Source organism: Homo sapiens, chromosome X, assembly GCF_000001405.40.
Source record: "Homo sapiens chromosome X, GRCh38.p14 Primary Assembly".
Taxonomy (NCBI): domain Eukaryota; kingdom Metazoa; phylum Chordata; class Mammalia; order Primates; family Hominidae; genus Homo; species Homo sapiens.
This window is the reverse complement of record NC_000023.11, coordinates 129,436,297-129,450,137: the sequence shown is the minus strand read 5'-3', so window position 1 is coordinate 129,450,137 and position 13,841 is coordinate 129,436,297. Positions and strand designations below refer to the sequence as shown.

At 39.5% G+C, this 13,841-nt stretch overlaps 1 protein-coding gene and 1 pseudogene across 7 annotated transcripts in view; both read left to right on the top strand.

Moving 5' to 3' along the window:
• Positions 1-3,632, top strand: part of SMARCA1 (SNF2 related chromatin remodeling ATPase 1) — a 76,985-nt gene extending 73,353 nt beyond the window's left edge. For 2 of the 7 annotated variants that reach the window (NM_001282875.2, NM_001282874.2), the window contains 2 exons: positions 1,695-1,805; positions 2,905-3,632. In NM_001282875.2, the coding sequence (NP_001269804.1) occupies positions 1,695-1,805; positions 2,905-2,976 (183 nt within the window). In that variant the 3' untranslated portion in view covers positions 2,977-3,632. Of the gene's footprint in view, positions 1-1,694; positions 1,837-2,836 lie in introns of all 7 variants that reach the window. The other 5 variants (NM_001378264.1, NM_001378261.1, NM_001378262.1 and 2 more) reach the window with 3 other exon arrangements.
• RNA5SP513 (RNA, 5S ribosomal pseudogene 513) lies at positions 13,491-13,608 on the top strand (annotated as a pseudogene).

Here is a 13,841-nt window from a genome sequence, read left to right as displayed (position 1 = left end):
CTTCAAATACAGTCACAAGTCCCCATCTTCAAATACAGTCACATTGAAGGTTAGGGCTTCAGATGAATTTTGCGGAGACATACCTCAGTCCATAGCAGATAGTAGCATTGACATTTCATCATCAGTGAATGAAAGTTCCCGTTTCAGCATCTTATTGTCAATGTCAGATATGTATACCATATATGTGCACATGCACACAAGCATGTACATATTGCTAATTTGATGAAGATGGCATTGTTTTACTTTGCATTTCTTTGGTCATTAGTTGCAGTGAAACTTGATTATAATGTTTGGACTTTTTTTTTTTTGGTGAGTTTTCTATTCCTGTACTTTGACCATTTGTGTGTGTGTGTGTTGGGGTTGTTCTTAATTGCCAGTAAACCTACATTTTCACTTGAGTGTTTAGCTATTCTGGCAGGCATTTTTGCTTATACAGAAAAGGAATCATATTTTAAAATATTATTTATCCTTTGATATTAAACCATTATTTACCTTTAAAATATAGCAAAGTATACAGGGTTAATAATATATGATATTCCGTATTAATGAATCATGTTTAATGTTCACCATACATTCGTAAAAAGTATTTATAGTTTGCATGCATTGATTTGCTGACAGTGAAATATAGGTAGTGGCAAGGTTAATGTAGAAATCTTTTCAGATATTATTTGCTCTGAATTAACAAATACAGCAGTGTTTCCTGTGATGTGGTCCCCAGAACTCTGATCCCACAAGATGTCCGGTGAGAAGAAAGTCTGTTGGTTAAATATTTTTGACAACTGCTGCATCCTGTACGCCCCACCTAGTGGTTCACAGTGCACATAGGGAACTGAAAGGCTCTGAGAAGCCATGTAATAAGTAAATCTGTTTAACTTTTGTAAACTGGGTACTTCCAAAACTTATTTTGACCATAGAACATCCCCTTATTTTTTTTTGTTTATGTGATTTATGTTAACTTTTTATTTTGAAATAAGAAAATTCACAAAAAGTTGTAAAGAAAATGTACAGGGAGGTCTCATGCACCCTTCACCCAGTTTTCCCCAATAGTAACATTTTGCAAAACTATAGTAAAATATCACAACCAGGAAATTGACATTCGTGTAATCTATAGAGCTTGTTCAGATTTCATCAGTTATACATGCGCTCGTGTGTGTGTGTGTGTGTGTGTGTGCAGTTCAATGCAGTTTTGTCATGTGTAGAGTTGTGTAACCTCCACCACCATAAGACTCCATTGTGCTATCTCTTTACAGTCACACCTACCCTCTCTCCTCTCCCTAGCTCCCGGCAACCATTGATCTGTTCTCTCTTTCTATAATTTTGTCATTTAAGGATGTTATATAAATGGAATAATATGGTATGTAACCTTTCGAAATTAGCTTTTTTTTTTTACTTAGCATAATTCCCTTGAGGTTCATTCAGATTGTTAACTGTATTAATAGTTCTTTCCTTTTTATTGCTGAGTAATATTATATGATATGGATGTATCATGGTTTGTTTAACCAGTCATCCATAAATGACATTTACCCCCACTCCTAATTCTGGTGGAATCTATTAATACCCTGTGTGAATATTGTCCTGAAAAATAGCAGTTTTGGAAATTCTATACCACAGAAATCATACAGTTAAATAGTTGTCAGCGTTTTAAAGATAATGATTGGGTTGCAGAAATTAAAAATCTTTATTACTTCATTTAGGAATTCCAGAGACGCTGTAACACTCTGATTTCATTGATTGAGAAAGAAAATATGGAAATTGAGGAAAGAGAGAGAGCAGAAAAGAAGAAACGGGCAACTAAAACTCCAATGGTAAAATTTTCAGCATTTTCCTAACTTTTAGGTAGATCCCATTTTTTTACATAATTAAAATGCCTATATTATGTTTAATGCCATAGTGATAGCTATTAATAAAAGCTGGTTTTATGAAATGCTAATTTGTTTTGGACAGAAGAAGAATTGCTTCACAACCATGTTTCTTATTTGTTTGTAGAACATATGGTTAGGAACTCCCTAGTAACTAGGCTCAGTATTTTAAAAAATTCCTCATGAATCTAAACAGAAGTATAATGCAAGTGAAATCTTTTGAATTGAGACTAGAGCTATCATGGGGGTAGCAGAGGGGTAGGGGTGGGATGGGATGGGGCTGAAGTTGAAACTAGGAGTTCTGATTTGATCAAGTAAGTTTTCTGATGTTTGTGGAATTATGAGTACAAATGGGAACTCTGAGCAGACAACAAAGCTTTGCTTGGTAATAAGTGAACTGTTGAATTGATAGGATAACTTGATTTTAATCCAGTCAGGTTGCTTTGTACAGCTGTAATTTAAAATATTCTTTAATAGATCGTATTATTTGAGTGTGGTTAAGTAAACTGCCATATTTCATCGAATCTAAGATGCCTTCCATTGTAAGACACAGCATTATTTTATGTACCACTGAGGGAAAATGCTGCCAGGTGTAATTTGTCATCAGTTGTAAGTTGCATCCTGATTTCAGAGATGCTAAAATGTGAAAGAAATGTGTATCATAGAAGATATGAAATATGGTATGTTAAAACCTATCATAAGTTTTTTAAAAAATATATACTCATAAACAAAATTTTGCCCAGAAAACATTAAGTAGTTCTTTAAGATAAGAGTACATTTATAATACCATGTGTAAGTAGATACTTGATGACTATTTTTGATGGGTATTTTATGTCTTTTCATAAAAAGAAACATCTTTGAAGGTTATTTTACATTGGGTTATATAGTTTGTTGGGCTATATAGAACATTAACTGTGAATATAACATTTAAGTGAATATTCATGTTAAAATTTTTTTTTAATGCATTTACATCCTAGATTTAACATTGTTGGGCCATTTAAAATGTGCATATTGGAGCAGAACATTAAATCTGTTTCCATTTTAGTCACAGAAAAGAAAAGCAGAGTCAGCTACTGAGAGCTCTGGAAAGAAGGATGTCAAGAAGGTGAAATCCTAAAGCCTAGAAATAAAGTTTTAAATGGGAAACTGCTATTTTCTTGTTCCCATCTTCAAATGCTAATTGCCAGTTCCAGTGTATTCATGGTACTCTAAGAAAAATCTCTTTGGTTTTGATTTCTTGCATATTTTATATATTTTACAATGCTTTCTACCTGAAATGTGTAGCTTTATATTTTATGGCATTCTAGTATTTTTGTGTACTGTATTTTGTGCATTTCATGTCTTCATCAAAATCCTCTCAGTCCTTGTTCTTTTGAAGCTTGTGCTGAGGTTTTAGCTTTTCTATGTTTTATATGCCGCTGCTTTGAAAGAGAACCTAGATTCTATAGTTGTATTATTGTTGTTTCATACTTTAAATTTATATGGCTGTGGAAAAACGAATTAAAATGTTTTGAGGAGAAAGACTTTTTCACTTCTTTGTTGCTTTCTTTTCTATTGAGTCTGGGCTTGTTTGTGTTACTGCATACTGTGATTAGCATAATAATTGTTTCTTTGAGGTCATCTAAATATTTTTTTCCTAAAGGAATAAAGGGTGAGGAAAGAAAAATATTAAAAAAGCTAATATTTGATACTGTGCTTGCTGTCAGTATGCATTACATTTAAATTATTCTCTATTCAAGTGGGAAAATATAATAAAGAAATGTCTATAAGAAATTTAATTATTTCCTGTTTTTTTGTGCAGTAGAAAGTAGTTGTGTTTACTGAATTGTATTGCTTACTACTGTGTATTTGGTTCAAAGTTAAAGCTTTGCTTGCTGACTTGTGTGTGATCTTCTGTCCCATAGAGCCAGTTCAGAAGGGCCTGGGTGTAACATGTAGAATTATTAACAATTAAGTTTAGAGTATGAAATAAGCACTATGTATGCAGAAGAAGGGGGGCTGTGTTTGTCAGGAATACAGTTATGCTCAGGTAACAATCTCAAAGTGTCAGAGGTTTTACACACCAAGAGTTTTTTTTTCTTGCTCACACTACATATCTCATGCAGGTCAGAGGGATGTGGGAATGGGAAGGGATCTGCTCCACACGGTAACTCAAGGTTCCAGGATGACTAAGGCTCTGCTATTTTGTGGCTGCAACATCTGGAACATGTGGCACTTAGGCTCTTTACTGCCTCGGCCTAGAAGTGACACATGTCACATCCACTTATATTTCATTGCCACCAAAGTAGTCATGTGGTCCTATATACCTGAAAGAGGGCTGGCAGATGTAGGGGAATAAATGGAACGTCTTACATTACTGCCTCTGTCACAGAGACTGTCAGTTCAGGAACGAAACTGGGTCTATTACATGAAACTTTTAGTGTGGAATTAATCAGAATCTGGGTCAGGTTGTAAGACAGCAGGGAAAATGGATCAAAATCTAGTGTGAAATACACAACCAATAAGTAAAGCTGAGAATGCAGGATAATGATGTTAGTTACCAAAACAAGGTCTGGACCACTAAAGAGTTGTCTCTTCCCCCTTCCAAGATCTTTTGCATTTCCTATCAGACTCTTTTTAGTGCACTACTAGCAAATTCTGGGTAGCCCCTGAGTGTTAGTCAGCATTCTTCACATCCTCAATCTTTTCATAGAAGTTCTCCAACAGAGGAATAGATCTTCTAGAACAACAACCCACTGTCTGTTGGACTCTTCTAAGTCTCCATTCATTGTCCAGATTTTATATCTCTTACTGCCATGTTTCTGGTTGGATTATTTTTTCTGTTTCCACTATTAGCACTTAGACTCTTGTACCCTGTTGGGGGTTGGGGTAAAATTGGGGTTCTATTAAGAGACAAGGTTGGGACGATATTATATCAGGGGACCCAGGGATACCCAAATCTGTCCTTGGCTTAGCTGCCTTTTCTGTAAGAAAGGGAGGCTAAGGTGAGCAAAGTAATACTTCACTAGCTGGTGCTTTGGCTGCAAACTCCAGAGCTCTTCAGCCCAAAATCTAACCTTGGAATTTTCCACTCCAATGATATGAATAGCTATAGTTAGTCATCTGCGCTGGAGAAAATGATACCAGGGAGTTTTACTGATAACCCCAAGTTCTGTGCAGTAGAAAACAGCCTAATGAGGGTCTGGACTCTGATCAGTCAATTCAGCCTTTCTTTTCCTAGGGAGCAGAGAAGATGGCAGGTGGGAGTGGGCACAGTTACGGTCTTTGAACCCCAGCATGGACATTTAACAATCTCTACTTCTCATTCTTTCTCTGGTAATCCAAAGGGTTCAGTAGCTGAGCTAATATGTGATTCTCTACCTTAGGGGAGAAAATCTGCAGGTAAGTTCTTGTAGCCTTTTCATGGAGTCATTTCCCTGTTCCATATCATGGCTGTTATGAGTCTTTCTTGGACCAAAGTGATGTGAAATTCAGCTCCCCAAGGCCTTCAATGGATGCTTCTGATGTCATCCTTAGAAACTTGTGAAATAGTTTTATTCAGGACTTAACTTAAAGACCACACTATATATTTAGTGAAAAATTCACCTATTCTACTTCTCATCTTAAAGTATGTATAGCTACACTGTTGAACCTAGCCTACCAAACAGACCCATACAGTGAATACCAGATGATAGCTTAGTCCAAATAATAGCATCTTGGAAGTACAAAAATGCCTCAAGTCTGAATATGAAACCCCTCTTATTGTTAAATTTCTACAGAGAAATTAAACTCCCATTGAAAATGTAAAAATCCCAAGAAGGAAATACCATTTCAAACAAGTGGTCTAGACATGGCTGCTATGTTGGGGAGAGAAACCTGGATTGTCAGTTTACTGTATCAGCTCCGTGGAGGCCAGAGGAAGCAGAAGAGAGTGCTATATATGTGAATGCAGTCTTATAAAGCATAATGACTCTGCCCACCAGCAAAAATGGTCCAGTGGATTACATTGGAATCTGACCCAACCTGATTCCTTGTTTGGAAAATGTACAAGGAGGAAAGTGAGCAGAGAAACAGAGACCCTGAGTGGCTTCCTTCACTCAAGGCCTCTATCTGTAAAAGATAAGGGGTGAATGGGATTTCCCAACAACCCTAGATCTTCCACAGAGGTCCTTGTAAAGCTCTGTCTTGATTCATTGGCTAATCAGGCTCTAATTTCCTTAGAATCAAAAGAAGGCAGGTGGTGAGCTCAGTAATCTCTTGTTTTCATCGTAGCCGTTGGTATGGCTTTATTGTATAGTTCTATCTTTTTCTCTGGCTACCTGGCCTACAGGTGTTATGCTATACTTGGATACTTTTCAGATTACACAGTTTTCTCGTGAAATATGTTTCCAAATTTGGTTCTTCGTCTAAGACTCCCAGTTAAGAGAAGTTTTTGAACTAAAATATTTGCAGCTATCTTAGTTGCTGGCTGTTTGGTTTGAAAAGCCTCTACCTAACTGGTGAATCTATCTACTGTCATCAAAATAAAATGCTGTTATTTCCTAATTATTGGCAAAGGTCCCCTCTGTGGTCTATTGTTCCCCCTCTATGGTGCAGTAGCCAGTGCAGCTAAGAGTCCCAGGTCAGCTTCAAGGCCACCACGTCTTTCTCTCCAGGTGTTCTTACCAATTCCTGAAATCCTCAAGTTGTTACCAAATTTCAGACTTCTCTGAGTATTCCATCTCATGTTTCCTTCATCTTCCTAAGCCATCCTGCCTAATAGACAAGGAGTAATATTTTTCTGTGGTTGAAATACACATAGCTTATACTATCCTGTCACCTATCCCTCAGCCTTATTATTTCTGTGTGCTCCAACTGATTTTTGCCTGCCACTATCTCTTTCTGAAGGCTTTTTCAGAGACTTAGAAGGCTTCTCTACCCTCCACATGGTAGGCTGGAAGAGCTAGGGATTAACGCATCTGGAAGTGGCTCTGAATAAAAAAACTGATGGGAGTTGGTGTATGAATGCCCCAACTCTCTTACCTCTTGAGCAAGGTAACTAAGGTATGTGATTTATGGTTCCCCAGAGTTTACCCACCGGATTAAGCTCCAGCCACCCACAGTAGTGGCTGTCTTGATAACACACTCTATTAACTGCTTTTTTTCCCCTGTATCACTTCCCTACTCCCCTGTAGGTATTTCCTTAGGTCAGCTCCTGAATAAACTACTTGCATTAGAATCTTCGTATCAGCATTTGCTTCTGAGGGAACTCAAATTAAGATACTCACCTTGTGTGCATAGCTCTTCTTACCCCTTAGTAATTCATTTAGAAAGCGTAGGGTGTTTAATAAGAGTAATGACTGGATAGCATATTATTAATCTGTTCTTATAAATTCTATTCCCTCCGTGAACAGTTAGGGGGTGGTGTGACTGAATCAGGGTATTTTGCACTGGGAACCCCTAGCTCTTCTAGGCTACCTTACAGAGGCTAGAGAAGCCTTCCAGACCTCTGGAAGCTAAATAACAAAATAAATTTTCTTGTATCACCAATAGCTATGGTATTGGGTGTTATTATTATTATTATTATTATTTGAGACAGAGTCTCTCTCCGTCGCCCAGGCTGGAGTGCAGTGGCGCCATCTCGGCTAACTGCAAGCTCCGCCTCCCGGGTTCACGCCATTCTCCTGCCTCAGCCTCCCGAGTAACTGGGACTACAGGCGCCCGCCACCACGCCCGGCTAATTTTTTGTATTTTTAGTAGAGACGGGGTTTCACCGTGTTAGCCAGGATTGGTCTCGATCTCCTGACCTCGTGATCTGCCCTCCTCGGCCTCCCAAAGTTCTGGGATTACAGGCGTGAGCCACCACGCCCGGCCAGTATTGGGTAGTATTATTAGGCAGAGGTTCCAAGGTTCTCAAGTGTTTGGTAAGGCCAAAGCTGGTGCCCAAGCTATTGTCTTTTTAAGTGTTCTCCATGCTAGCTGGTATCCCTTCCCTGTACCAGTGTTTCATTTAGATAATTGGACCAAGCATCGGCCTTTCTTACTGTAATGCAACCATTACAAAAGCTTGTTGATACCAGGCTCTTTTCATTTGTTGGCCTAGTGACTTTATCGTTTGTCCCTTTCCTGATACATTGCTCTCCTGCTAAGGAAACTTTCATCTAGGCCACTGTAGTCAGATCCAAGCTGTATCTTTCCGTTGACTTTCTTCCCTGTCTGTATTGCCCCCAAGATATGCTTGGTTAATTTCTGATCTTTCTGTGATATAGATACTAGAATTCATCAATATATTGGATTACCAAATTATGTGGGCTGTCTTCAAGAGTCTCCATATATCTATGGGAGGTTGATGGTGAGCACTATTCATCTCCCAACTGTCTACCTCTCATCATGAATAGTTTTGAATTAACATATCTCCTTCAGTGGTGGAGCTCAAAGCCTATTTGCTAATCCAAGATAAAAAAGATCTTTGCATAAGGTCTCACCTTTGCTAGAATATTTATTATGTGACCATCATCATCATCATTTAGGATTGATACCTTATTCAGCCCTCTCCTGAAATCAACTGTAAGTTTCCAAATGCCATTTGTTTTTGTACTGGCATTTAGTTTTGTACTGGCAATAAGATCACTGCTGAAATATGATAACTTACCCCTTTCTACTAAGATTGTCGTGGTATTTCATCTACTGTTTCCTAATGTATGTTAGCTACACTGTTTACAGTTAGGTAGATGGTTTCCCTTGCCTTCATGAGAAATGATTGCAATTGGGTCTGAGATCTGGGTGCTGTATCTATGTAGGTATATCCTTTTCTCCTTTCATATATGTCTATCCTGGTTTCTAAGATCTCAAGCTTTCTCCCTTTCCTAGTTTTGTTTATTGAGACACGGTCTCATTCTGTCCCTGAGACTGGAGTGCAGTTTTGCAATTATGGCTCACTGCAGCCTTGACTTCCCTGGCTTAGGGGATTCTCCCACCTCAGCCTCCCGAGTAGCTGGGACTACAGGTGTGCACTGCCACGACGGGCTAATTTTTTGTATTTTTTGTAGAGGCAGGGTTTCGCCATGCTGCCCAGGTGGGTCTCGAACTCCTGGGTTCAAACGATCCTCCCGCCTTGGTCCTCCAAAAGTGATGGGATTACGGGTGTGAGGCGCCGCACCCGGCCTCTTTTCCTAATTCTTTCCTAGCTTGCTTGCCACCACTTCCAAAGCAATAACTATCTCCCGGGCAAGAGTTTTTAGTTCATTTAAAGTACCCTGTAATCTAACCTATCCTATCCTGTAGTCTAACCTATCCTATAATGTAACCTAACCTAACCAAGGGCCTTTATTTCCAGGCCGACCCAATTCTCAAAGCCACGACATTCTGGATATAGTTATTATTTAATGCCCTACAGCATTCTGGATATGGTTATTATTTAATGCCTTTTTGACCTTTGATCTTTTTTCTTTCATTAACTTTTACTCTTCACCTCAGTCCAAGAATAAGCTACTGTGTCCATGTAGTGAAGGTCTTAATCTCTTTTTATGAGTGAACTCTACCTTCCTTCAGTGATTGCACCCACACTCTGAGGTCTCTGAAGTCCACAGCCATAATTAGACTCTTGGCTGATATTTATTGAAGATTCCTGATCAGGAAAGCAACTGCAAGGTGTGTCTTGTCTTTTGATTAGGACTTGCAAATCACTAAGGGTTATTTTTTTTTAACTCTATCTTTTCTCCACAAATTCTTATATTAGCGTTTATGCAGTGTCCAAATCAGAGTCAACATGAGAACATATGGTAGGGAAGGGACTCAGAAAACTTTACAGGAGGCCATGACACCTCAGAATTTTATGTGACCATCATTCTCTATCTCCGGATACAAGTTAAAACAAAGTCCAGAGGAACAGAATCTAGGTCTGTCATCTAAGTTGGGTGTATGAGTATTTGGATCTAATGATCCATTAGGCCAAAAATGTTACACACTAGAATTCTGTTTATTTCAGGGAGACCTAGCTGCAGAACCTTGTGGCTCCTGCAGTTTGAAGTCATGGACAAGGTTATCCCAGCTCCTAAAATGAATGTTTACACCAATACCAGCACCTGCCTGTTACACATGGGAGAGTATATACTGGCCCTACAGCAGCAGTGCTTCAAGTTTGAGGACTAAACCTCAATCTCTTTTGTGGGACTTTATTCCCCAAATGTCCCTGGGGAAGACAGTTGCCCTGTTTTCTGAGATCATGTCAGTGTCAGGGACAGAGGTGAGATCCAGGCACCATTAAGGGATGAGTTATGGTAGTGATTGGCCAGGTGACTTGGGAATATTTAAATTCTGCCTTGGCCCTGTCACCCTGGTATGTTCCACAAGAGACGCATGTGACTAAAGAGTGGCAAAGGAAGCAAAATAACATTGGGGGCATTAGCCCCCAGACTCTATTTCAGCACTGTACTAAGCTGACCACAAGGAAGCTTAGAGTAGAGACAGTGTGGAACTCAGAACCAAAACAGGATGAATAGCTTAACATTTCTCTTAAGCCAAAGTCAAATTTCCAAATTTACCATTCAAATGAGAAAAAAATGTTACAGCCACCAGCTTCAGAGAGAATGAACCCAGAAAGGGGCTTTCTACCTGTATGGGATTGTTTATATTCTCAGGGCTCCACCCACTAGAAACTGTGGTTCTACAGTGCCCAGGAATCTTGCCCATCAATTCAGTACTCCTCCACTACTTGGGTAGGAGGCTAGGGAGCAGACTAGAGAGGAACTTTTAACTCCTTTGCCTGGAAGTCAATATGGACACTGTGCTTATCTTGCTTAGATGCTTAGCTATGGCAACCAGGTACATTCTTTAGTGTGTGCTTGATTCTGTGTTTATATGTGGCTGGAGCATTGACTAATACAGAAGGTATCAAAAGAGGTACCATGATAGAATGCAAACTCAATAACCTGTGAGAATCACATCATCTATGTGGGATTTCTTATTTTCTAACACATTTTTTGATTATTGGTGAGATTCTTTATGAGCGAACTTGAATCCTTGAGACAATGGTTTACTATACCATGGTGTCACAGTATTTTGAGTCTTCTGGGAAATGGCAACTTGCTGTTGTTTACGATACTGGGAGAAAATGTGACACTTTCATATGCTGTTATAAATGCACATATACTGAAATTTGAATATGGATGGACTGTGTTTTTAAATGATTTGTTTTTATTTTGTAGTTTTTAAAAAAGCAATGTAGACTATATGTGAATAGTTCGCATGCCATAATTTTCCTCACGTGGAGATCTTCTGCAATGCTAGGTAGGTGCTGTGGTATGCCAAGCTGCACTGCTTAAGCCTCATAGAACTGGAACTAGTGATTGCATCTCTCAGGATGCAGGGATATGGATTTACTCTGCTGAAGGAAAACATTCAGTCATATTCAGAATTTTCAGCTTTAGGCTTTGAAGACAACTACACTTGTTTTGGCTTTATTTTTAGGCTCCATGTCAGTTACCTTTTGCTGCATAAAAATCTACCCTAAAACTCAGTGGCTTAAAACAACCAGTTGCAACTCACAATTCTGTGGGTTAGCAATTTGGGTTGGGCTCAGCACCTCATGGGCTCAGCTTCTTTCAAGGTGTCAAATTCCTATTTATACATTCAAAGAAATCCTTATAAGTTGACATAGGGGTATTAAACTCCTAGTAAAGTTGAATTCTTATAACCAGAATGGTTCATAGTCTGAGAAGAAGAAAGCAATATGCAGAAAAAAAAATGGCCTTGAGGTCAAAATAGTAGGGCCAAAACTGGGCAGTGAGATCAAAATGCCCTGTGTTGTTTGAGAATACCCTGAGGTTCAACATATTTATTGAGGTCCAGGGATGGTCCTACCATCCCTTTTCTGTCACTGGGCCAGAACTCAGACAAGCTTTTTTGAGGCAGGAGACCTTTACCTTTGCTACCTAAGCTGTTTGCTTCAGAACAGGCTTTCCTGTCACTTTTGCTGCCACCAAAGTTGTCAAGATTTGTAATCCCATAATTGCCGTTATTTCCGTGGATGGGGCTGGACTGTGCCCTGTTACTTGTTATGACTAAATTAATGTATCTGGGGCAAAATGTCTCAACTCCCATCTCACTGGTCCCTAAGTGAGATCCCCACTCAGTCCACCGTTGGGCAAAGATGTTCCAGCAAAAATGGTTTGAAATTCAAATGCTTGAGTCATCTTTCTGGTCTCATAGTGGTTTGATCTCAGAAGCTTTGTTGCTCTTTCTGCCACTGGACCTTGGCCATAGTCATCTCTGTCCATCCTGACAAATGTCATTAACTTTCTGTATTCATTTAAATTGTACTTGTCTGTTTATTATTTACTCATTTGTATATTCATGCATTCATTTGTTTATTAACATTCTTTATTTTTAATTGCACCTCAGGTTAAACCCCAGGGAGAAGGGGTTGTGGCCGTGACCCCTTCTCTTACAGAATACCCTTCAAGCTTTGTATCCATAGGGACAGTCTGTCTCTTTTTCTTTCTTTTATTGCCCTTGCTTCTCTCATTGGCTCTGTGTCTCTATCATCTTGTTACTTGCTTTCACTTGCTCTTACACTCAAACAATATAAATAGCTCCTCAGGCACTCTGGTAACTCGCTGACTACTTAAATAAGAACCTTAAATAAGAACAGGTGGGTATTATAAGGACATCAGCAAGCAGGAATCGAGGCAGTTAATGCTCTTCATCTCTCTCTGGGGCTACATGATGTCTCTCTCAACGTCTCTGTCATTGTCATTCTCTCTCTCAGCATCCCTGCTTCTCTCTGTATGTGTCCATAGCCCTAATCAATGGCCTACTGATTTTGTGCACGAGTTCTGCTTTTATTGTTACTTTTTCTTGCCATGATCCTTCGTAGATCCCTCTCTTCCTCAGGACATTTTTGGTAAACTCTAACTCTCATTTCTAACTGCTGCCGCCTTCACGTTTTTGAATGGGAGAATCATATGGGCATAGATCATCTTCTGCATCGGGTCACATTGTAGGTAAGTGACTCGACTGACTTGGCTACAACTGGGTCGGGTACACCCTGTGGCTAAAGGGTGAGGTCATGTGATATAAAACTTGGCAGCAAGAGCAGCAGAGGTTGCAAGCAGGCAGTGGACTAACAGGCAGTAATTGACATCTTCATATAGTCTGTTTCTTGCCCATTAGTACACTAACCTTTCTCCTATATACAATACTAAAGATGTCTCTGCCTAAAACCACCTACCTATTACACCTCAACCACAAACACGTGCTTCCAGGAGAGACACAACTCAGTTTCATCTAGAAGCCATATGAAAGGATCATATTAAAAGCTGCCTGTCAGTCTCTGTCTGCAACCTTTAGGGGACATCCTTAAATTTTTCAGTTCCTGGGCCTGCTTATGGTCTTTGGTTCAGAGTATATATTGCATCCTTGCAGCTGCTTGGGAATGATGAATTATATACTGAAACCAGTAAGCATAAACTATTGCAGAGGAGTTCTTTCATCAGCAAATCTGACCAACTGGGGAATCTGCCTCTGGGAGGATTATCCCTGAGATGATCTAAGGGCAGCAACAGTCCACTTCTAGGTAATGTTGGTACTCTGGGAAAAGCCAACTTGAGGGGTTGGTTCTCAAACTCGAACTTGGATTGGAATCACTTGGAAGACTTGTTAAAACTCAAACTGGTCTATGGCCATACCACCCTGAACGTGCCCAATCTTGCCTGATCTTGGAAGCTAAGCAGGGTTGGGCCTGGTTAGTACTTGGATGGAAGACCCCCTGGGAATACGGGTGCTGTAGGCATTATTTAAATTTAATTTAAAAAAAATCCAGAATGCTGAGCTCCATCTCCAGAGCTTCTGATTCAGTAGGTACTTGCATTTCTAACAAGTTCCCAGGTGACGCTGATGCTTTTGGTCCAGGAATCACACTTTGAAAACTGCTGTTTCTAGGGTGCCAATTTGAATCCAGGCGTTTGGTGGTTGAGCTGAAGTGGGCTTTGTTGTATCGCTGTATGGTAGTTTCAGTCCAGGAGA